The 25,565-nt window shown below is 40.8% G+C and overlaps 1 protein-coding gene across 3 annotated transcripts in view, besides 2 other annotated features; it reads right to left on the bottom strand.

Moving 5' to 3' along the window:
- The window catches only part of MORC3 (MORC family CW-type zinc finger 3), a 56,436-nt gene that overhangs the window by 16,535 nt on the left and 14,336 nt on the right, over window positions 1-25,565 (bottom strand). For all 3 annotated transcript variants that reach the window (NM_001320446.2, NM_015358.3, NM_001320445.2), the window contains 9 exons: window positions 23,092-23,224; window positions 22,152-22,366; window positions 21,177-21,324; window positions 18,552-18,699; window positions 15,391-15,519; window positions 15,067-15,186; window positions 10,690-10,787; window positions 3,374-3,478; window positions 21-143 (listed from right to left, as the gene is read on the bottom strand). In NM_001320446.2, the coding sequence (NP_001307375.1) occupies window positions 21-143; window positions 3,374-3,478; window positions 10,690-10,787; window positions 15,067-15,186; window positions 15,391-15,519; window positions 18,552-18,699; window positions 21,177-21,324; window positions 22,152-22,366; window positions 23,092-23,123 (1,118 nt within the window). In that variant the 5' untranslated portion in view covers window positions 23,124-23,224. The remainder of the gene's footprint in view (window positions 1-20; window positions 144-3,373; window positions 3,479-10,689; window positions 10,788-15,066; window positions 15,187-15,390; window positions 15,520-18,551; window positions 18,700-21,176; window positions 21,325-22,151; window positions 22,367-23,091; window positions 23,225-25,565) is intronic.
- Window positions 22,302-23,501: an enhancer, noted in NCBI's record as "CDK7 strongly-dependent group 2 enhancer chr21:37708895-37710094 (GRCh37/hg19 assembly coordinates)". NCBI's record gives its function as "activates an origin of replication core promoter dependent on BRD2, BRD4, P300/CBP, MED14 and CDK7 cofactors, with strong dependence on CDK7, by STARR-seq in HCT116 cells {active_cell/tissue: HCT116}" and the evidence as "EXISTENCE:reporter gene assay evidence [ECO:0000049][PMID:35650434]".
- Window positions 22,753-23,047: a silencer, noted in NCBI's record as "tiled region #5695; HepG2 Repressive non-DNase unmatched - State 15:Elon". NCBI's record gives its function as "represses a minimal TATA promoter and a strong SV40 promoter by Sharpr-MPRA in HepG2 cells {active_cell/tissue: HepG2}" and the evidence as "EXISTENCE:reporter gene assay evidence [ECO:0000049][PMID:27701403]".

The raw sequence follows: 25,565 nt of genomic DNA, 5'->3' as shown, positions 1-25,565 counted from the left end.
TACTACCAACTCTATGGTACCTGAACTGTGGGTCAGGGTTATTGGAGCAATACCATTTTTCAGGAAGTTGATCCATCCCATCAGGTAATTTCCGCCACTTTAGACAGGCATCACACTGAACCCATGTCTGATCAGGACGCTTCCTGTCCCAAAACAAGAACAAAATATTAACACAGAAATATGGACTCTAAATACTTCATCAGATGTTCCACATCATTTCTACCACAAGATGCCATTATTTAATTCCTTTCCTAAAAATTATGACGTAACTCTTTCAAAATTAGGCTGGGTGCGACGGCTCATGCCTATAATCCCAGGAGTTAGAGACCAGCCTGGACAACATGGTGAAACCCTGTCTCTACAAAAAAACACAAAGATTAACTGGGAGTGGTAATGCACACCTGTGGTCCCTGCTACTTGGGAGGCTGAGGTGGGAGGATTGCTTGAGCCCAGGAGGCAGAGGTTGCAAAATCATGCTACTGACCTCCAGCCTAGGCTACAGAGTAAGATCCTGTCAAAAAAAAAAAAAAAAAAAAAAAAAGGAGAGGAAAGGAAAGGAAAAGAAAAGAGAAAAGGCAAGGCAAGGCACGGTAGCTCATGCCTATAATTTGGGAGGCTAAAGCAGGTATTTTTTAGAAATACATTTTAAAAACAACTATTTTGAGCTGGGTGTGGTGGCATACACCTTAGTCTCAGATACTCAGGAGGCTGAGGTTGGAGAATCGCTTGAGCACAGGAGTATGAGGCCAGCCTGGGCAACATAGTGAGACCCCATCTCTCAAAAATTAAACACAACCATTTTGGTTACCTTCAAAAGATTAAAAGTCACAAGCCAATTTGAACAATGTGACTTATGTCTTAATAGCATTAAATTTTTTCTATAACTTAATATTTCAAATGCCTTGCCCTGAACTTTATGTTTAGTGTCTACAATGTTAAATCTACAATATATTGTATTTATTAGCATAATAAATCACTCAAGTCCAGAAAACAGAATTCTGTTGTTATAATTTAAGTAACTTTAAATAAGACACTTTTGCCCTCTTATTTCTGAATAACTAAAATTAGTATACTTTTAGTTTACAAAATGCTTTCATATTTTTCTCATTTAAAAATCAAGGCTGGGCGCGGTGGCTCATGCCTGTAATCCCAGCACTTTGGGAGGCTGACGCGGGTGGATCATGAGGTCAGGAGATCGAGACTACCCTGGCTAACACGGTGAAACCCCATCTCTACTAAAAATACAAAAAATAAGCCATGCGTGATGGCGGGTTCCTGTAGTCCCAGCTATTCAGGAGGCTGAGGCAGGAGAATTGTATGAACCCAGGAGGCAGAGCTTGCAGTGAGCCGAGATTGCGCCACTGCACTCCAGCCTGGGCGACAGAGCAAGCCTCTACCTCAAAAACAAAAAAAAAAGAAAAATCACAATAATTCCTGTAAAGAACTTGTATATATTCTTTTATTTTTTTAATTATTTTTTGCTTCTACTTTATTTATTTATTTTTTTAAGAGATAGGTCTCACCACGTTGCCCAGCCTGGTCTCCAACTCCTGAGTTCAAGCAATCCTTCTGCCTTGGCCTCCCAAAGTGCAGGGATTACAGGCGTGACCCACTGGATACAGCCTATGTAGACTTATTTTACATATGAAAACTTCACCTTAATGTCAATAGCTTTTTAAATCTAGTTTTATTTCATTTTATTTATTTTTTTTGAGACAGAGTTTCACTCTTTTCGCCCAGGCTGGAGTGCAATGGTGCAATCTCGGTTCATTGCAACCTCTGCCTCCCGGGTTCAAGCTATTCTCCTGCCTCAGCCTCCCAAGTAGCTGGGACTACAGGTGTGCACCACTATGCCTGGCTACTTTTTGTATTTTCAGTAGAGACAGGGTTTTACCATGTTGATCAGGTGGGTCTCAAACTCCAGACCTCAAGTGATCCGCCCGCCTCGGTTGGCCTCCCAAAGTGCTGGGATTACAGATGTGATCCAACGTACCTGGCCTGCTTTTTAAATCTAGCTTTGAAAAAGCATTTAGATATTTATAAACAACTTCAAAACAGGATGAGCGCGGTGGCTCACGCCTGTAATCCCAGCACTTTGGGAGGCCAAGGCAGGCAGATCACCTGAGGTCAGGAGTTCAAGACCAGCCTGGCCAACATGGTGAAACTCTGTCTCTACTAAAAATACAAACATTAGCCAGGCGTGGTGGCACACGCCTGTAGTCCCAGCTCCTCGGAAGGCTGAGGCAGGAGAATTGCTTGAACCCGGGAGGTGGAGGTTGCAGTGAGCTGAGATTGCGCCACTGCACTTCAGCCTGGGTGACAGAGTGAGACTCCATTTCAAAAAAAAAAAACCAAAAAAAAAAAAACCCAACCAACCAACCAAACAAATCCGAAACTTCAAAACAATCTAGAGGTTTATAAAGCATAACTTTATACTTTATAAACTCCTTGTCTCAGGAAATTACCACTGCTAATTTTTAAAATACTAGCAGAAATTTTCTATGCTTATAAAGTATGCATGTGTATACTGACACATTAAAAAAATACAAGCTGGGCACGGTGGCTCATGCCTATAATCCCAGCACTTTGGGTGGGAGGATCACCTGGACCCAGGACATTGAGACCAGCCTGGGCAACACAGGGAGACCCCACCTGTATAAAACTTTTTTTAAATATAAAAAAATTGAAAAGTACGATGGGAAGTCTATACACTGAGCTGCATCTTTCTTGTTTTTCATTATATATCTTGGTTATCTTTGTAATAATGTATAAATTATGAATAATATGTATAATGTATAAATTATGTATAATAATGTATAAAGAACACACAGATAAAGAACACACAGATATTGTTCATTCATTCATTTATAGGACTGTTATCCTGTGATGTGTTACTAAGTGACTGTCAGGCATATTATTTAATTCATATAATTCGAGGAGGCAAATGCTCTTAATGTTCCCATTTTATACACAAGAAAATGGAGGCTTACAAGAGGCCAAGTAATATGTTCAATGCCACATGGCTACTTAAGCAGAATGAGAATATGAACTCAAGTTGGGTTTCAGCCCCATCATCCTAATGATACACTATACCAGTGTTTTTCAAACTATTATATAATCCATCCATAGCATCTTAAAATGAAATAACATTAACATGCATCACATATGGGTAAACATTGTTTTATGGATGTTTTGTGTGCATGTATACAGGTTTACATTCTATTCACTGATTTTGCAGTGCGCTAATTCATGTTGCAGAATTTATTCCTATGAGTTACAGTCCTAAGTTTGTGAAACATTGTACAATCCCTTTACTCTCTAATACCACATCTTGATATCTAAGTGAAATGATATGTTTTAAAAATGTACTTACTGTATATCTTCAACTGGCAAATTTAGAGGATATTCTGTATTTTTCTTCACTTTCATTTCATTCCAGTAATCATTCAGCTTTTCTCCTAGTGCTGTTATTGTAAGTCTTAAAAAGTAAATCATAAAATCAAGAAAAAATTCTTTTCAAACATAAATCATAAATAATCTAGTAATGAGTACATAGACACTGTGAAGAGAAAAAACTCCAAAACATATAGTTAATAAAGAACATTCAAGGTATAGGTGACCCTTGAACAACACAGGTTTGAACTGCACTTATACACAATTTTCTTTCAATAAATTAGAAAATTTTTTAGAGAGTTATAACAATTTGAAAAAAACTTCCAAGAACTGCATTGCCCAGAAATATCCAAAAAATTAAGAATAAGTTAGATATGTCATGAATGCATAAAACATGCAAATACTAGTCTATTTTATAATTTACTACCATAAAATATACACAAAGCTATTTAAAAAGTTAAAATTTATCAAGACTGAAGCATATACAGACTGTAGGTGGTTTCATTTGCAGTCAAGAGAAATGTAAACAAAGATGCAGTCTTAAATTATAACTGCATAAGATTAATTATATACATACAATATTATTATAGTAATTTCATAGCCACCTCCTGTTGCTATTTTGATGGGCTCAAGTTTTTTATTTGCTTCAAGTGCCTTATGACATGCTTATCTCCATGTAAGCATCTCCAAGAAATTTTATATTGCAGTAAAAATCGTTTAGTGCAATACTGTAAACCTTGAAAAACACCACAGGACCCACACGAACTGCCACTAGTGATGCCAGTTGTTTTCCCAAGAAGCAAAGTCATAATATAAGAAAAAGTATAAATTGCTTGATATGTAGGTTGAGGCGCCTGAGTAGCTGGGGCCACAGGCACTTGCCACCACACCTGGCTAATTTTTTTTTTTTTTCATTTTTTGTAGAGACAGGGTATTGCTTTTTTGCCCAGGCTGCTCTCGAACTCCTGGCCTCAAGCTATTCTTGTCTCAGCCTCCCAAAGTGCTGGGATTACAGGGATGAGCCACCATGCCCAGCCTGTTTGAACAGGTTTTTAATGCAAACAAAAGTACTCTATTCTGGGAAAAAATGCCACAAAGAACACTTATTAGCAAAAAAGAGGAGCATAAACCAGGATTTAAGTCCAAGAACGGACAGGCTAACCCTACTGCTTTGTGCAAATGTAGTCAGGTTTATGATCAGGACTGCCATTATCTATAAAGATGCTAACCCTTAAGCCTTGAAGAGAAAAGACAAACACCAGCTGCCAGTCTTTTGGTTGCACAAATAGAAGGCCTGGATGAGAAATTCTTTTTCTGACTGGGTCTATTGATGCTTTGTTCCTGAAGTCAGGAATTAACTTGCCAGTAAAGGACTGCCTTTTACAGTTCTTTTGATATTGGACAAGGTACCCTGGCCACCCATAACCCCATGACTTCAATACCAAAGGCATCCAAGTGGTCTACTTGTCCCGAAACACAATGTCTCTAATTCAGCCTCTAGATAACAAGGAGGGTCATAAGACCTTTAAGGCTCATTACACACAGCAAATCTACGGAAAAGATTGTTAACGCTGTGGAAGACAATTCTGACAGAGAAAACATCATGAAAGTCTAGAATAACGATGCCATTATTAAGTACAGAAAAAGCTGTGAAAGAAATCAAGCTCAAAACAATAAATTCCTGCTATGTCCACATGTTGTGCATGACTTCACAGTATTTACAAGATAGCCAGTTGAGGAAATCATCAGAGAGATTGTGGATATACAGGAAAAAAAAGGTAGAGGGCAAAAAGTTTCAAGATATGGATGTTGCAGGAATTCAAGAGCGAACAGACACCACACCTGAGGAAATCAACTGAAGCCTACTTGATGGAGATGAGTGTTTCTGAACCAGTGTTAGACAGTGAGGAAGAAGACAGAAGAAGCAGTGCCCAGACAACAAACTGACATTAGACAATCCAGAAGGTGGGTTCCAATTATTCAAGACTGCTTTTGATTTCTTTTACAACATGGACACTTCTATGATACAGGCACTGAAACTGAAGCAGACAGTGTAAGAAGGATTGGTACTGTACAGAGATATTTTTATGAAAATAAAAATGCACTGGGCACGGTGGCTCACGCCTGTAATCCCAGCACTTTGGAAGACAGAGGCGGGCGGATCACAAGGTCAGGAGTTCAAGACCAGCCTGGCCAATATGGGGAAACCCCATCTCTACTAAACACACAAAAATTAGCCGGGCGTGATGGCGTGTGCCTGTAGTCCTAACTACTCAGGAGGCTGAGGCAGAAGAATCGCTTGAACCTGGGAGGCGGAGGTTGCAGTGAGCCAAGATGTGGGCAACAGAGCGAGACTCCATCTCAAAAAAAAAAAAAAAAAAGAAAGAAAGAAAGAAAGAAAACAAAAATGGAAATAAGTCAGACAGAAATTACAGTGTATAAAAATTAAACTGAGTGTGCCTGCCTCTCCTTCCACCTCTTCTCGTGCCATGGCAAAACCAATCCCCCTTCTTCCTCAGCCTACTCAACACGAAGACTACGAGGATGAAGACATATGAACCACTTCCACTTAATGAACAGTACATATATTTTCTCTTCCTTATGATTTTGTTTTTGGTTTTCTTCTTTTTTTTTGAGACAGGGTCTCACTCTGTCACCCAGTCTAGGGTGCAATGGCGTGACTTAGGCTCACTGCAACCTCCACCTCCTGGGTTCAAGTGTTTCTCCTGCCTCAGTCTCCAAAGTAGCTGGGATTACAAGTGCCCACCACCATGCCCGGCTAATTTTTTTATTTTTAGTAGAGATGGGACCAGGAGTGGTGGCTCACACCTGTAATCCCAGCACTTTGGGAGGCCGAGGTGGCCGGATCACCTGAGGTCAGGAGTTAGAGACCACCCTGGCCAACGTGGCAAAACTCTGTCTTTACTAAAAAAAAAAAAAAAAAAAAAATACAAAAATTAGCCGGGCTTGGTGGCAGGTGCCTGTAATCCCAGCTACTTGGGAGGCTGAGATAGGGAGAATTGCTTGAACCCAGGAGGCGGAGGTTGCAATGAGCTGAGATTGCACCACTGCACTCCAGACTGGATGACAGAGCAAGACTCCATCTCAGAAAAAAATAAATAAAATAGTAGAGATGGGGTTTCACCATGTTAGCCAGGCTGGTCTCGAACTCCTAATCTCAAGTGATCTACCCACATCAGCCTCCCAAAGTGCTGGGATTGTGGTTCCCTGGTGGTCTAGTGGCTAGGATTCAGTGCTTTCCAAAGGGCTGGGATTACAGGTGTGAGCCACCGCACCGGCCTGAGCCACGGCACCCGGCCATGATTTTTTTTTTTTTTTTTTTTTTTTTGAGACAGAGTCTCTCTCTGTCACCAAACTGGAATGTAGTGGCTCAATCTCAGCTCACTGCAACCTCCGACTCCCTGGTTCAAGCAATTCTCCTGCCTCTGCCTCCTGAGTAGCTGGGATTACAGCCACACGCCACCAAGCCCAGCTAATTTTTGTATTTTTAGTAGAGACTGGGTTTCACCATGTTAGCCAGGATGGTCTCGATCTCCTGACCTCGTGATCCGCCCACCTCGGCCTCCTAAAGTGCTGGGATTACAGGCGTGAGCCACCATGCCCGGCCTATGATTTTCTAATAACATTTTTTCATTAGCTTATTTTAAGAATACAGTATATATTTAACATATGAAATACATGTTAATAGATGGTTTTCTTTTTTTTTTTTTTTAGAGAAAAGGTCTTGCTCTGTCACCCTGGCTGGAAAGCAGTGGCACTATCACAGCTCACTGCAGCTTCAAACTCCTAGGCTCACATGATCATTCTGCCTCGAGCATCCTGAGTAGCTGGGACTACAGATGTGTGCCACCATTCCCAGCTTAATCAACTATTTATGTTATCAGTAAGGCTTCCATTCAACAGCAGGCTCTTAAGGTTCTGAGGAGTTATACGTGGATCTTTGACTGAGGGGTAGTCAGTCCCCCTAATAACTGCGCTGTTCAAGGGTTAATGGTACTTAACATTGTCAACTACTGGTACAAGCTGAACATCCCAAATCCAAAAATCCAAATTGCTCCAAATCTGAAACTTTTTGAGTGCCAACATGATACCCAAAGGAAATGCTCATGAAAGTACCTTGGATTTCAGATTTTCAGATTTGCAATGCTCAACCAGTAGGCATAATGCAAACATTCCAAAATACAAAAAAATCCAAACCAAAACACTTCCGGTCTCAAAGATTTCAGATAAGGATACTCAACCTGTAATAGAGCTTTATGTCTTCCTTTTCAACCTGCCCCCCCCCACCCCTTTTTTTTGGCCTTATTACATTAGTTATTTCCTCAAGAATATTTAGTGAATGGCTGGTATCCTTAACTCTCCCACCCTTCTAAGGAAAGCTATCAATTGTTCCCCATTAGTAATGTAGCTTGCCGTGTGTGTGTAAATACTCTGTTATTATGCCCTTTGATTCACAGTTTTTGTAGGTGTTCCTTTTAAAAATAATTGCAAGTGCTTTTTCTCTATCTATGTATATGACCATAAGGGCTTTCTCTTATTAAACATCAATATGATGAACTATACTCATTTCTTACATTAAAACCACCCATATTGTCTTAGAACACAACCCACTTGGTTTTAATGTTATTATTCTTTTAGCATGTACTGGATGGTATTTACCAATATTTTAATTAAGACTTTTAATTCTATGATAAGAGACTGACATAAATTTCCTTTCCTGTACTCTTGAGCTTACTAACAAGGCTATGTGGCTTCATAAAACCTTTGACTACTGTGAACAGTGCTGCAATAAACATGAGAGTGCAGGTATCTCTTCAAATATACTGATTTTCTTTCTTTTAGATATATATCCAGCCATGTGATTGTTCAATCATATGGTAATTCTATTATTAGTTTACTTGAGGAAACTCCATCCTATTCTCCATAGCAACTATACTAATTTACTTTCCCACTAATAGTGTACGAGGGTTCCCCTTTCTCCACATCCTTGTCAGCATCCATTAACGAATAAATGAATAAAAAAACTATGGTACATACACACAATGGGATATTATCCAACCACAAAAATGCTGTCATTTGTAATGACATGGATATAAATGGATATACCTGGAGGACATTACATTAAGTGAAGTAAGTCAGGTATAGAAAGACAAATATCTCATGTTCTCATCCATATCTGAGAGCTAAAAAATACTGCCCTCAGGACATGGGACAGGTAGTGGGGAGAGGGAAATAAAGAGGGGCTGGCTAATGAGTATAAAAATACAGTTAATTAGAAGGAATAAGATACAGTATTTGGTACCACAATAGGACAACAGGGCCGGGCGTGGTGGCTCACACCCATAATCCCACCATTTTGGGAGGCCAAGGCGGGTGGATCACAAGGTCAACAGATCAAGACCATCCTGATCAAAATAGTAAACCCCATCTCTACCAAAAATACAGAAAATTAGCTGGGCATGGTGGTGCATGCCTGTAGTCCCAGCTACTCGGGAGGCTGAGGCAGGAGAATCACTTGAATCCCAGAGGCAGAGGTTGCAATAAGCTAAGACCTGGGGGCCACTGCACTCCAGCCTAGTGACAGAGTGAGACTCAGTCTCAAAAAAAAAAAAAAAAAAAAAAAAAAGGAGGACAACCGTAGTTAACAATAACATCTTATATATATATTTCAAAGTAACTAGAAGAGTAAAATTGGAATGTTCCTAACACAAAATAAGGCAACTGCTTGAGGTGATGAATATCCCAATAACCCTGACTTGATCATTACATGTTGTATGCTTGTATCAAAATATCACATGTATTCCATACAAATGAACTATTATGTATTGTTTTAAATAGTTTTTGTAAATAAAAAGACTGATGCCACTTCTTCCTTAAATGTCTGAATTTAGTATGTGGGAAGTTTTCTAAAAAGTGATTCAATTTCAAAGGAATGTGTCCACGTCATCTAAAATGGAGAAAATTTATTTGTGCTATCTGCTTAATGTTTCATGTCTGGAGGCTCTGTAGTAATTTCTTCTTTTTCATTTCTAATATTGATGATTTGTATTTTCTACTCCTTTTCCTTAATCAGTCTTGACAAATGCTTATAGACTTTATTAGTCCTACCAAAGAACCGAAATTTTTTTTTTTTTTTTTTTTGAGGCAGGGTGTCTTCTGTCACCAGCGCGGGAATGCAGTGACACAATCACGGCTCATTGCAGCCTCAATCTCCTGAGCTCAAGTGATCCTCCCACCTCATTTTTTTATTTTCTGTAGAGATAAGCTCCCACTGTGTTGCCCAGGCTGGTCTCAAACTCCTCGGCTCAAGCGATCCTCCGCCTACTAAAGTGCTGGGATTACAGGTGTAAGCCACTGTACGTGGTCTTTTTTTTCCTGAGACGGGATCTCACTCTGTCATCGGGTTGGAGTACAGTGGCGCCATCTTGGCTCACTGCACACTCCACCTTCCCAGGCTCAAATGATCCTCCTGCCTCAGCCTCCTGAGTAGCTGGGACCACAGACACATGCCACCACACCTTGCTAATTTTTTGTATTTTTGGTAGAGACAGGATTTTGCCATGTTGCCCACGCTGGTCTCAACCTTCTGAGCTCAAGCAATTTGTCCACCTTTGGGCCCCCTTAGTGCTAAGATTACAGGAAAGAGCCACTGCACCTGGCTGACTTTTTTGATTCATTCAGTTACCAATTTATTGTCTCTAGGCTCCAAATCCAGCCCAAGTTCTGGTACTCTGTTACTATTTTGCTAGGGCCCAGTGACCTCCCAGAGGAGCTTCAGCTGTGCCCATCAGGCCATGCTTTGCCCACCAGCAGTCTTCTGCTAGCTCCAACAACATAAGGCTCCCTCTACAGACCAGCTCCAACCTATCCACACACCCTATGTCAACCAGAGACCACGTCTATAGGCCAGCATTGGCCAGGCCCTCTATTTACCTATTTAAATTATTGACTTCTTTTTAAAGTTTATTTTCAAAATACTTGCATAACTTCTCTTAAGCTAAATGTTTTGCCACCTTGTGGATTTTTATTTTAATTACAAAATTATAATTACATTATCGAACTTTAAGAAAATGGGTAGGTAAGGGACTTACATAGAAAACTAATATAACCATCTTCCATTCTAGGAATTGTAACCTACACCATCACAAGTAGTATATTCAAACCTTTCTTTACTAATAAGGTATTTCTGAGATTCACAGAAAATAGAGTAGTTCCTGCTTTCTTGGTAATACATTTCCTAGGAACCTCAGTCAATAATTTAAATAGGTAACATACCTGTACTCATTAGTATAGTCGAAATCTTGTTTATTATGAGTTGGCTTAAGGAAATTACACTCTATAATTCCAACCACTCCAACACCCATGTTGTTTGCCTGAAAAAATAAAATGAAATCAGCATTTTAAGCATAAGACATGATGCTCAAAATAATTACCCTTAAAGAATTATAGTTTGTATATTTTTCTATATTTTATCTTGTATGATTCTCATCACATTTATTTTTATTTTTATTTGTTTTTATTTTTTTGAGACAGAGTCTCATTTGGTCACCCAGGCTGGAGTGCAGTGGCATGATCTTGGCTCACTGCAAGAACCAAGAGACCGCCCAAGCTCAAGTGACTCTCGTTGCCTCAGCCTCCCGAGTAGCTGGAAGTACAGGCGCGCACCACCAAACCCAGCTAATTTTTCTATTTTTAGCAGAGACGGGGTTTCACCATGGCTAGTCTCCAACTCCTGACCTCAAGCAATCCACCAGCCTCGGCCTCCCAAAGTGCTGGCATTACAGGCATGAGCCACCGCGTCCGGCCAATTCTCATCAAATTTAGACTGAAAAAAACACTGGTAGGTGATTTATATTCCTGGGAGTTAATTTCTAAATACACTAGAGCCTTCCTCAAAAACCCTTTGATTGTTGACAAGTATCCATTTAGACAAGTATTAACATCCCCAATGTTATACAAGAGAAAAAGGACTACCTGCCAGGGGCGATGGCTCACGCCTGTAATCCCAACACTTTGGGAAGCCGAGGTGGGCAGATCACCTGAGGTCAGGAGTTCAAGAACAGCCTGGCCAACATGGTGAAATCCCATCTCTACTAAAAATACAAAAAATTAGCCGGGTGTGGTGGCATGCACCTGTAATCCCAGCTACTCAGGAGGCTGAGGCAGGAGAATTGCTTCAACCTGGCAGGCGGAGGTTGCAGTGAGCTGAGATCGTGCCATTGCACTCCAGCCTGGGCAACAAGAGTAAAACTCCATCTTTCAAAAAGACAAAAAAAGAAAAGAAAAGAGGACTACCTCTACTAGGATACAATTTCTTAGAGAACAGAAACCACAAATAATTCATCCTGATCTTGTAGTGACTAGCAAAGGCTCTGAAAGGCAATATTCCATACGTTTGTGAGATAAAAGTTAAAGTCATTTACCCAAAGTTAGGTATCCAGTTGCTAACAATGAAGTAAAAATCTAGGTTGGTTAAATTAGTTATTTTTTAAATCTGCTAGCTAAAATGTTGAACTCAAAGTATATGAGTCATCTTCTGATTATCTACGTGTGACTAACAAGTATATTTTGTTCATGATTGTAGCTATACTTCTTAGTCTATGAAGAAAAAAGTAAAATGTGTAACTCATAAAATGAAAATTTTTATAAACCCAACTATAGACCAAACCATACAACTAATCCTAATTCTGCTCTATTAAAAACCATCAGGTTCACCATTTCAGACTATTTTTAAACTACAGTAATAACAATATCCTTCAATTTGTGGTTCTTATCCATCTTCCTTCCAGCCTTATCCTGTCTCTCTCATTCCTCTGTTCTCCACTTAAAATATGGTCCAGCCACATCAAATTACTCCCTTTATGATGTCATACTCTCAGAAGCCTCTTTCTCTGCCTTTGCACATGTTGTCTCTGCCTGGAAAGCCCTTCCAGACTTTGCAGCACAGTGAAATCAACTGAGACTCATTTCAATCAACACTTTCTCTAAGAAGCCTTTTCTGATGCTTCCAAGGATGTTCCACAGTCCCCTCACAAAACTGAGCTTTGAGGGCATGCTCTGTATTTTACCAACTTTTTATGCTGAGCACCCAGCACAGCAAATCACAATGGGTATCTGATACTTATTTAATGTTTACCGAATCCACAGAATGCAAATACTAGGCCCAGTCCATCATCTGGTAAAGATAAACATTGTAATTTAGCTGTAACAGCCTATCTTTACAAGGTCGAGCTTAACTAGGAAATATGTACAGTACAAATTTAACTCGGTTGGGAAAATGGGCTATATATCTTGGTTAAGTCAGATTCATAGGTGATAAAAAGAAAAAAATTTACATTCTGTGGTAGACATAAAGTTCATTTACTTCTGCAAATATGCTATATTTGGGCTCATGCCATGTAAAGTAGGTGAAGCAGAGTCAGAACCCCTGTTAAGTGGTATTCAAGGTGAATCTGCATTGGTATACTGTGTAGATCTCACATCATTCTACAAAAAACTCAGAATAAAGTTAAGACAAAGAATTATCACCAAAATCTTAAAAATATGCAATGGATCCATATCCAAATGCAGTCAAATGATGTGTTTGTGTCTGAGATCCACGCTGTTATGTCTTAAGCAACTTGCTTCATCTATTTGTTATTTGCCCCAATTTCTTTGTTTTTTTTTTTTTTTTTTTAAGAGACAGGGTCTCACTCTGTTGCCCAGGCTGGAGTACAGGGGCAAAAATCATAGCTCAGTGTAGCCTCAAACTCCAGGGCTCAAGCACTCTCCCACCTCAGCCTCCCAAATAACTAAGACTACAAGGACGTACAACCACACCTGGCTAATTTGTTTTTATTGTTTTGTAGAGACGATTTTTGTTTGTTTGTTTGTTTGAGATAGGACCTCACCCTGTTGCCTAGACTGAAAAGCAGAGGCACAATTTTGGCTCACTACAGCCTCAACTTCTTGGGCTCAAGCAATCCTCCCACCTCAGCCTCCTGGTAGCTGGGACCACAGGCATGCACCACCAGGCCCAGCTAATTTTTGTATTTTTTTGTACAGACAGGGTTTTGCCCCATTGCCCAGGCTGGTCTTGAACTCCTGGGCTCAAGCAATCCCCCGGCCCAGACCTCTCAAATATGCTGGGATTACAGGTGTAAGGCACCGTACTCAGCTGAGGTAGAGACTTGGTATGTTGCCCAAGCTGGTCTTGAAGCACTGGCCTCAAGCAATCCTCCTACCTCAGCCACACGAAGCACTAGGATTACAGGAATGAGCCACTGTGTCTGGTCCCCAACTTCCTTATGCATAAAATAGGGATAAAAGAAATATTCTGTCCCCACCTCAGGGCTGTTCAGGATCAAATACAAAATTAATATACTAGGCCGAGCGCATTGCCTCAGGCCTGTAATCTGAGCACGCTGAGAAGCCGACGTGGGTGGATCACTTGAGTTCAGGAGTTTGAGGCCAGCCTGGTCAACATGGTAAAGCCGTCTCTACTAAAAATACAAAATTTGGCCTGGCATAGCGGCACACGCCAGTAGTCCCAGCTACTTGGGAGGCTAAGGCCCGAGAATCGCTTGAACCAGGGAGGTGGAGGTTGCAGTGAGCTGAGATCACACCACTGCACTCCAGCCTGGGTGACAGAGTGAGACTCCATCTCAAAAAATAAACAAACAAATAAATAAATAAAAGAAATTAAGGTGCTGGCATGCACCTGTAGTCACAGCTACTCAGGAGGCTAAGGTGCGAGGATCACTTGAACCTGGGAGTCAGAGGCTGCAGTGAGCCAAAATTGCGCCACTGCACTCCAGCCAGGTAGAGTCTCTCAAAAAATAAAAATAAAGCCGGGCGCGGTGGCTCACACCTGTAATCCCAGCACTTTGGGAGACCGAGGCGGGTGGATCACCTGAGGTCAGGAGTTTGGGACAAGCCTGGACAACACGGTGAAACCTCGTCTCTACTAAAAATACAAAACAACTGGCCGAGTGCGGTGGCACACGCTTGTAATCCCAGAACTTTGGGAGGCTGAGGCAGGCAGATCACCAGGTCAGGAGATCAAGACCATGCTGGCTGACACACTGAAACCTCACCTCTACTAAAAATACAAAAATTAGCCAGGCGTGGCGGCACGTGCCTGTAGTCCCAGCTACTTGGAAGGCTGAGGCAGGAGAATTGCTTGAACCCAGAAGGCAGAGGCTGCAGTGAGCCGAGATATCGCCACTGCACTCCAGCCTGGGCGACAGAGCAAGGCTCTGTCTCAAAAAAAAAACAAAAAACAAAAAAAACCAGGCGTGGTGGCATGCACCTGTAGTCCCAGCTACTTGGGAGGCTGAGGCAGCAGAATCACTTGAACCCAGAAGGTGAATATGGCAGTGAGTTTAGCCAAGATTGTGCCACTGCACTGAAGCCTGGGCAAGACTCAGACTCCGTCTCAAAAAAAAGGAAGGGAAAGGAAAGGAGAGGGCAGGGCAGGGGAGGGGAAGGGAGGGGAGGGGAGGGGAGTTAATAAAAGTTCAAATACCACAGTGTTATTTTTTACAAATTTACATTAAAAAGCTATAGGCAAAAGGTACAATAAAATTATTTAACATTTGACTCAAGAGCATATATTATCCTAACTTTTGTGGAAAATAGACATTTTCTTTTCAAATAAAAAATAAAGCTTACCCTTAACTGACATCCAACTTTTTCATAAGCTTTGATGAGTCTATTTCTGTGATACATCATTATCCCATAATGATCTTTATTTCTGCAGTTGAATCCAAAGGTAATTCTCACTGTTTTAGACTTAAAATATTAAGGTAAATTTTGAACACAACACCTCACTCAGTTCAAATCATCCTTTCTATTTCATTATTTGGTAAGTCCAAAAGCACACAAAGGAGGGCAAAGCTAGAGCAGACTAGAATCCCTATCAGCATATAAGGGGAAAGGGGCAAAAGAGAATACACCTGACTAACATATCTCTATAAGGAATCAGAAAAAGGATACTAAAAATTTTGGTCGATAAACATCACGTTCGATGTAGGCAAGACTCTTCGAAACCAGCTGTGTCTTCACTTTCTGTCCACGTAGGATGATCTGCATTCTTGGCTTTAGATATAATATACTGCAATAAGCCTGGAAAATAACATAACAAGAAGTTAGTATCTACAGGTTTGCTCACCATTACTTAGACATGGATTTACACAGAAGCTCTCCTATTAACTTGATAAAAGATCAATTAACTCTTCAATAAAATAGGCTATAAAGCTGTATGTTATTCTGATTTGGTTATTTTTCATTAAAAATAAGCTCAATATACCGCAGCCAGTAAAAATGACTTGCAGAATACAATCAACTGATCTATATAGATGCTGATATATTTATTACTAAGTGAAAAAGATTACAAAACAGCACGTATGGTATGATCACATTTTAATTTTAAAAAATGTATATATGTACAAAAAGGTACATTTTCTGATTTTTCTGTCAAGTATGGAGGCGGAGGCTGCAGTGAGCCGAGATCACACCACTGCACTCCAGTGTGGGGGACAGAGGGAGACCCCCCCACCTCAAAAAAAAAAGATTCAACACAAAACTAAAACTTAAAAGCTTCTCCTACTTTTCCTGACTCTTGATTTCAAAAGAAGTGGTGCTTTGCGTCATTTAAAAAACACTGTATTTTGTAGTGTACTAAAACCATACCATCTTCTCTGGCTGCCTCTGAACCTGTTTCATACTTGAATAAGACTTTTTCAACACTAGGAACACATTAGGATACATCAAGGAACAGTAAATATCTGCTATTTACTATTTTAGTAAATAGTAATACTACTATTTACTATTACTATTACTAATAATGTAATTGCTAAGACCTTAGCAAAAATTACATGAAAAATCTGTAAATGACAAATACATCCACAGCTTGGGATTAAAGAATAATATCAACACAAGAAATAAAGCAAAAAGTGGCTAGGCAAGGTGGCTCATTCCTGTAATCCCAGCACTTTGGGAGGCCGAGGCGGGCGGATCACGAGGTCAGGAGTTCAAGAGAAGCCTGGCTAACATAGTGAAACCCTGTCTCTACTAAAAATACAAAAATTAGCCAGGCAGGGTAGTGCATGCTTGTAGTCCTGGCTACTCAGGAGGCTGTGCCAGAAGAATCGCTTGAACCCAGGAGCCGGAGGTTGTGGTGAGCCGAGATCACGCCACTGCACTCCAGCCTAGGCAACAGAGTGAGACTCTGTCTCAAAAAAAAAAAAAAAAAGAAAGCAAAAAGTTAGTATCACATGTCTTATCAAAACAACTAAAAAACTTGATATTGGCCGGGCACGGTGGTTCACACCTGTAATCCCAACACTTTGTGAGGCCGAGGCAGGCAGATCACTGAGGTCGGGAGTTCGAGACCAGTCTGGCCAACATGGTGAAACCTTGTCTCTACTAAAAATGCAAAATTAGCCGGGCATGGTGGCGCATGCCTGTAATCCCAGCTAGTTGGGAGGCTGTGGCAGAAGAATCCCTTGAACCCAGGAGGTGGAGGCTGTGGTGAGCCAAGATCATGCCATTGCACTCCAGCCTGGGCAACAAGAACAAAACTCCGTCTCAAACAAACAAACAAAAAAACCTTGATATTAATTTATCGACATTATTATATCAAGATATTAATTTCTCCAATCTTTTTTTTATTTTTATTTTTTGAGACAGAGTTTCACTCTTGTTGCCCAGGCTGGAGTGTAATGGTGCGGTCTTGGCTCACCACAACCTCTGCCTGCCGGGTTCAAGGGATTCTCCTGCCTCAGCCTCCCAAGCCGCTGGGATCACAGGCTCCCGCAACCGTGCCCAGCTAATTTTTCTATTTTTAGTAGAGACAGGATTTCACCATGTTGGCCAGGCTGGTCTCCAACTCCTGACCTCAGGTGATCCACCCGTCTCTGCCTCACAAAGTGCTGGGATTACATGTGTGAGCCACTGTGCCTAGCCCATTTCTTTTAATCTTAAACAGATACTCATTTTGACCAGGTGCAGAGGCTCACACCTGTAATCCCAGCACTTTGGGAGGCTGAGGCAGGTGGATCACTTGAGACCAAGAGTTTGAGATCAGCCTGGACAACTTGGTGAAACATCGTCTCTACCAAAAATACAAAAAAATAGCCGGGTGTGGTGGCACACGCCTGCAGTCCCAGCTACTCAGGAGGCTGAGGTGGAAGGATTGCTTGGGGCCAGGAGGCAGAGGCTGCAGTGAGCTGAGATCTCACCGCTGCACTCCAGCCTGGGTGAGAGAGTGACACCCAAAGACCTAATCTCCAAAAAGAAAAACAAAAAAACAAAAACCTCATTTCTAAAGGGAAAATCCTAGAGGCATTTATCACAAAATTATATTAATGTACCTTATCTAACTATAGTCTATAATTTATTGCTTTAGGAGGACAATTAAGGTATGTATTCTAGAATACGTTAAATTTTTTGTGTGTGTGTGATGGCGTCTCACTCTGTCACCTAGGCTGGAGTGCAGTGGTACAATCTCCGCTCACTGCAACCTCCGTGAACCGCACTGCCCCACCTGCAGGTTCAAGCGACTCTCCTGCCTCAGCCTCCCGAGTAGCTGGGATTACAGGTGCCTGCCACCGTGCCCAACTAATTTTTGCATTTTTAGTAGAGACGGAGTTCAAGACCATCTTGGCCAGGCTGGTCTTGAACTCCTGACCTTGTGATCCACCCACCTTGGCCTCCCAAAGTGCTGGGATTACAGGTGTGAACCACCGTGCACGGGCAAATACGTTAAAATTTAATAAGACTTTGAATTTGTTGTTTTTTGAATTAGTCTGGCCACCATATACTGACTAATATATTGATTCTAATAAGATAATAATGTCAGCATATAGTAAAAACTACAAGCATTGTTAGGCCTGACGACTTCATAATTTAAAAAGGGTTTCCAAACAAATAAATCAACCAGTGTGCTAATGAAAAGTTTAACTAAATTTGTGTGTGTGTGTGATACAGCCTCACTCTGTTGCCCAGGCTGAGTGGGCCAGGGAAAATCATGTCTGAGATACTTTCATTTAGAGAGCACTGGCAGCCTTTCTATCACAAGCAGGTAACATGACCTCTCCTAATACTACCAGCATTCAATGATTTTCTCACTTCCACAAAGAGAGCTGAATACATACCCTCAGGGAATAGTCACTCTCAGGGGCAATCTGGTCCATCCTTTCCTGCTTCTTGTACCCCTTCTTCCCTGTTATCTCATCTAAATCCTCGGGAATTCTGATATCATATTTATCCTTTTCAAAATCGAACTCTGTTGCATTTTTGTAGCTGTAAAAATAATTTTTAGAAAGAACCAAAATTTAACTTCACAGCAAGATAAGCCAGCAAACACTGTAAGTCATTAAAAAGGTAAGCAAATAAATAAACCTACACATGGTGCACGTCAGTGGGGGGTTGGGGGTGCAAAGGCAAGAGAAAAAGAAAGAAAACGGATCCTGGATGATGTGGAGAAACTGTAACACTCATACACTGCTGGTAGGAAAACACTCAGGAAAACAGTCTGGCATTTCTTAGAAAATAAAATGCAAGTACTATATGATACAGCAATTACACTTCTAGATATTTATTTCAGAAAAATGAAGACTATATTCCCACAAAACTGTGTACACAAATGTTTACAGCTTTATTTGTAATATCCCAAAACTACAAACCTAGATGTCTTGAATAGGTAAACACACTGGGTTCCATACATACAATGAAACACTACTCAGCAAGAAAAAAGTGCAAACTGGCTGGGTGCAGTGGCTCACGCCTGTAATCCTACCACTTTGGGAGGCTGAGGCATGTGGATCACCTGAGGTCAGAAGTTCAAGACCAGCCTGGTCAATATGGCAAAACCCTGTCTCTACTAAAAACACAAAAATCAGCCAGGCATGGTGGCAGGTGCCTATAATCCCAGCCACACGGGAGGATGAGGCAGCAGAATCGCTTGAACCCGGTGGGCGGAGGTTGCAGTGAGCCGAGATGGCGCTATACTTCACTCCACCCTGGGGGAAAGAGCAAAACGCTATCTCAAAAAAAAAAAAAAGAAAGAAAGAAAGAAAAGAAAAGAAAGAAAAAAAAAAGAAAAAGGAAAAGGTGCAAACTATACATACAAGAACCTGGAAAACGCCAGGAGTTATGCTAAGTGAAAAAAGTCAAATCCAAAAGGTTTCCATGTTGTTTATGTAATATTCTTAAAATGGCAAAATTATAGAAATAGAGAACAGATTAGAGGTTGCCACGGATTAAGGAGGGAGTGGGGTTATGAGGGAAGTGGGTATGGCTACAAAAGAGCAACATGAGGGATTCCTGTGATGACTAAAGTGTCCTGCATCTTGACTGTATCAACATCAAAATCCTGTCAATATCAATAGTACTACTGTACTATAGTTTTTTTTTTTTTTTTTGAGACAGAGTCTCGCTCTTTCGCCCAGGCTGGAGTGCAGTGGTGCTATCTCGGCTCACTGCAAGCTCCGCCTCCCTGGTTCACGCCATTCTCCTGCCTCAGCCTCCTTAGTAGCTGGGACTACAGGCGCCCGCCACCGCGCCCAGCTAATTTTTTGTAATTTTAGTAGAGACAGGGTTTCGCCGTGTTAGCCAGGATGGTCTCGATCTCCTGACCTCATGATCCACCCGCCTCAGCCTCCCAAAGTGCTGGGATTACAGGTGTGAGCCAGTGTGCCTGGCTGTACTATAGTTTTGTTAGATGTTACCAGCAGGGGAAACTGAATGAAGTGTACCTAACATCTCTCTATTACTTCTTACAACTACACATGAATCTACAATTACCTCAGAAAGTATAATTGAAAAAATCCTCCAGGAGAAGGAGGGGTAGGGAAGTGAAAGCAAGAAAAACGAATTCAGGTATCAGAATAGCACAAGTTTTTTCAGTTCTTTAGGCTTATCACTACCTGTGCTTTATTCCTGTGATTCAGTATGTCTTAGATCTTTCAGTATTAGACATTAGTCTTAAATTTTAAAATTTATTTGCGAAGGATTTTATCCTCACAAAGATAAAGGATTATAAATTTTAGCAACACAAAAATCTCACCTATATTACTTTTCTCATCAGGTGCTACATCACTTTTAGTTTTAAGTAATGTACACAATGAAGAAAGATTTATCCTCCTGAATTTGTCTTCTCATTGCTTTTTTTCTTTTTTCTTTTTTTTTTTTTTTTTTTGAGAAGACGGGGTGGAATAAATGAGAGAGAATAGAGTGCTAATGGAGACTGAATGGCAGGGATAGAAAAAAATTTTTTTTTTTGGCCGGGTGTGGTGGCTCACGCCTGTAATCCCAGCACTTTGGGAGGCCAAGGCGGGTGGATCACCTGAGGTCAGGAGTTCTAGACCAGCCTGGCCAACATGGTGAAACCCTGTCTCAACTAAAATACAAAAGTTAGCCGGGCATGGTGGCAGGCGACTGTAATCCCAGCTACTCGGGGGACTGAAGCAGGAGAATCGCTTAAACCTAGGAGGCGGAGGCTGCAGTCAGCTGAGATTGCGCCATCGCATTCCAGCCTGGGGAACAAGAGTGAGACTTCGTCTCAAAAAAAAATTTTTTTTAACAAGATGAAAATATCTCAAATTGAAGCTGAAATGGCCTCTATAACATATCCTGGGCAAAGACAAATCAGTAACTACACCAAAAAATGAGTACCTTTCCATGTATTTCTACTGTGTGTAACGAGAGATGAATATAACACCACCACCCTGCACGTGCACTTTACTTCCCAAACGGTCAACATCTATGTCCACGTTTACCTTCTAAGATTCCAAATGATGATCCTCGTCCCCTTCTTGCCTATAATAGCATCAAGTTCTGCCAGTAACTTCTGTTCCGTGGAAAACAGAGAATGTTCCAGAATTGCAGCAAGGCTGGCTTTTGATTCTGCTAAATTAATCATCTGTCGTATATCATAAGTTAAAGACTCAGATTGACAACATAGTTTTCATAATTACAATATGAAAACTAACTCTATAAACTTAAATAACAGAAAAACTATTTATAAATAATTTTCTAAGGTTTTTTTTTTTGTGAGATAGGGTCTCACTATTGCTTAGGCTAGAGTGCAGTAACATGATCAGGGCTAACTGCAGCCTAGCTGGGACCGACCACAGGCACCCACCACCACGACCGGCTAATTTTTAAATTTTTTTTGTAGAGATAGGGTCTCCCTACGTTGCTTGGGCTGGTCTCAAAATTCCGGGCTCAAGCAATCCTTCTGTCTTGGCCTCCCAAAGTGGTGGAATTTCAGGGATCAGCCACCGAGCTCAGCCTATTTTCTAAGTTTTAACATGGCAGTTTGATTTCAAATGAACAAGAAGAAGAATAAAAAATAAGCAGATTATTATTCCTAACTAACTTAATACTTTCTAATATTCCAATGTGTTCATACAAAAGGCATTTTCCTAAAGTTATCCTGCCTTTTGTGGTCACTAGTCAAATTTTCAAGCCAAACCATAAAGTCTTACTAGTCTACAATAACCCTGAAGTAAACAGAAGAGCTATGGGAAGTTTAACATAAAATGTTGAGTATTTCCATAGCAGGATTCCAACAGAGAAGAGAAAGGGACAAACCCTTAGCCTCAGGTGTAGGGTAAATGCAGAGGACAGAGGTAAGAAATGGAATAGGTGTTATTCAAAGGGAATAATCTGGAAGAAGGCAAAAACATAGAATGTTTCCAAATTATTTCTTCAGTTTCTCCACAGCTTTTATTTCACAACCAAAAGGATATGGTGCTTGTTGAATGCCACTATTGGAACAACAACATGCTCCGCTTTTATGACTTCCAAGTAGGTCTGAGACAAAAGGCCCACGCTCATGCTTTCTCCATTTTTGGTAAAAACGATTGCGTCTTTACCCAGACGCATAGAACCCGACTTGAAGCCATTCCCATATAATCCAACTGGGACATGACCATTCATGGTGACTTTGTCACTGAAGCCAAAGCTAAGAAGAAAATAAAGATTTTTAAAAATAAATACCTATAATCAAAAATAAATAAATAAATAAATACCTATAATCTTTTTTTTTAATTCATTAATTGTAATACCAAGTAAAAAGCCTGGGTTCAAATACTGGCCTCACCCTTCCTAGCTGTATAATCTTGGGCAGATTACTTTTTTGTTGTTGTTGATTTTTTATGTATCGGGCAGATTACTTTTAATCTATCTTGACGTGTTTTCCCAGCTCTGAAATAAGGAAACCAAATCTACATCACAGGGGAGAAAAAGGATCACAAGTACTAACATGCAAACTCATCGCTGGCACACCCTGACTAAATAGCTGAGTATAACCCATGCTTCCGGGACTGTGAGATTTCACCCCATGAATCTCTTCCTCTAAAAGTTACTCCCAACAAAGTGGTAGGTTTTATTACAAACAATGGTTAAACCTAATTTACACTAAAGTTATCAGTAATTGATATAAATATACTACAACTCTAAAGGAATGGTGGACTTTTAGGGAGTTGGAAGTAGGGTGGGGTAGGTGATGACAGTGGTGAAGACTGACTCATCATCTACCAGTAGTAGAAAATCATGCTTAGAGAACAGCTCACACTGTACATACAGCATTTCATTTCAAAAAACAAAAACCAAGAATAGTAAGTATGGCATGGAAAACCCTTTAGGTAAAAGCAACAATTTTAAGAAGTGTGGCACATTTTTACCTACCTTAGCATTTTATGTAATTTATCAGAAGTCATACCATTCCCATTGTCGGTGAATGTCAAGCATATATGGTCATTTATCACTGTTTTGTCAATCCATATTTGTTTAGCGTTCACATCAGGATCATAAGCATTATCTGGGAAACACAAGTTTGAAGAAATTCTGATTTTACACTTTAAAAAGAGCAATTAGTTCAGAACAATCCTGTAAGAAGCAATAGAAGACTATGTTTTAAGACAACTTTAAAAGCTGCAATTTTTAGCAGCTTTAAAATTTAAAGATTTTAAACATGAAAATAAGATTTAAAAACATGAAAATAAACTGCATCCTGGTATATATTAATCGACTATTATAGAATTAACACCCTCCATGTTAAAGAGACAGCAAAGACTGGTACCCAGCACACCAAAGAAGTACAAAGGAAGAAAAATCACTACACTGCAGAGATGATTAAAAGATGGACTAAGTCTGCATGTGGTGGCTCACGCCTGTAATCCCAGCACTTTGGGAGGCTGAGGCGGGCAGATCACCTGAGGTCAGGAGTTTGAGATCAGCCTGGCCAACATGGTGAAACCCCATCTCTACTAAAAAATACAAAAATCCGCCAGGCATGGTGGCACATGCCTATAGTCCCAGCTAATCCAGAGGCTAAGACAGGAGAATCGCTCGAGCCTGGGAGGCAGAGGTTGCAGTGAGCGGAGATCGTGCCACTGCACTCTAGCCTGGGCAACACAGCAAGACTCTGTCTCCAAAAACAAAAACAAAAACAAAAACAAAAAAGCTGACCATGGTGACTTACGCCTGTAATCCCAGCACTCTGGGAGGCTGAGGTGGGCAGATCACCTGAGGTCAGGAGTTTGAGACCAGCCTGGCCGACAGGGTGAAATCCCATCTGTATTAAAAAAAAAAAAAAAAAATTAGCCAGGCATGGTGGCGGGCACCTATAATCCCAGCTACTCAGGAGGCTGAGGCAGGAGAATTGCTTGAACCCAGGAGGCGGAGGTTGCAATGAGCTGAGATAGCGCCATTGCACTCGAGCCTGGGCAACAAGAGCGAGACTCCGTCTCAAAAATGGAAAAAAAAGAAAAAAAGAGAGAGACTAACCTGGCTATTGTAGGGGAAAGAGATCTGAGTGTCAATGGAAGGTACACAATAATCAATAAATAAATGAAAAGGCAGCAACATTTTCTGCTAAGTTACATACAAGGATGGAAGATTTACTTTCTACTATTTCTTTAAATTGTGATCCTTTTCAGTTTAACCAAGTTAAACCAAGTTTCTGGTGGCTTTTACATTTTTATTTCTGTATACTTCTCCATTTAACATCCTTGTTTAGCATACTCATTTCTCTCAGAATAGGTGTAGGAAGAAATACGTTTAAAAATGAAAAATAGGGCTGGGCGCAGCGGCTCATGCCTGTAATCCCAGCAGTTTGGGAGGCAGAGGTGGGTGGATCACCTGAGGTCAGGAGTTCGAGACAAGCCTGACCAATATGGTGAAACCCTGTCTCTACTAAAAATACAAAAATTAGCCAGGAGCGGTGGCATGTGCCTGTAGTCCCAGCTACTCGGGAGGCTGAGGGACAAGTGCTTGAACCCAGGAGGTAGAGGAGGTTGCAGTGAGCCGAGACTGTGCCACTGCACTCCAGCCTGGGTGACAGAGCGAGACTCTGCCTCAAAAAAAAAAAAAAAAAAAAAAATTCCTTCTTTTTCTTTTATCTTCCATCTATGATAGAACCCTTCCTTGATAAAGATTCTAAAATATATCTAAGAATTCCTAAGAATACAATTTCCCTTTATTATCTGTTTCTTAAACATATGCCTAAATTTTTCAATTAGGCTTATGTTTGTGTGCATGAATTTTTCTTTTCTTTTTCTTTTCCTTTTTTCTGGAGACAGGGTCTCACTGTAGCCCAGGCTGGAGGAAGACTCACTCTGCTGCAGCCTTGACTTCCCTGGCTCGAGTGATCCTCCCACCTCAGACTCCCGAGTCACTAGGACTACAGGTGTGCACCACCACCCTGGCGAATTTTTGTATTTTTTGTAGAGATGGGGTCCCACTATGTTTCTCAGGGTGGGCCCCAACTCCTGGGCTCATGTGATCCTCCTGCCTCAGCCTCCCAAAGTGTTGGGATTACAGGTGTGAACAACTGTGTGCCCAGCCTATGCATGAATTTTTCCCAAGAAAAAAATCATGACCCATAAATGCAAATCAGACCGCAACCTTGCCGCTTTCTCACGTTCATTGAAATGCTGTTAAAATACAATCCTAAACCTTAAACTTCCCATTTATTGAAAGAAGCAAGAACTTATTACATATCTAACACAATACCAATCCTCCTATTGATACCAGAAAAATGAATCCATGCTGTATGTTACACATACTTTTGTACTACTAATAAACATAATTCTGCCAGTCACTGTGGTGCACACTTGTCATCCCAGATACTCCTGAGGCTGAGGTGGGAGGATCGCCTG

This window comes from Homo sapiens, chromosome 21 (genome assembly GCF_000001405.40).
Source record: "Homo sapiens chromosome 21, GRCh38.p14 Primary Assembly".
Lineage (NCBI taxonomy): Eukaryota > Metazoa > Chordata > Mammalia > Primates > Hominidae > Homo > Homo sapiens.
The sequence above is the reverse complement of the archived record's forward strand: the minus strand, read 5'-3'. Positions and strand labels throughout refer to the sequence as shown.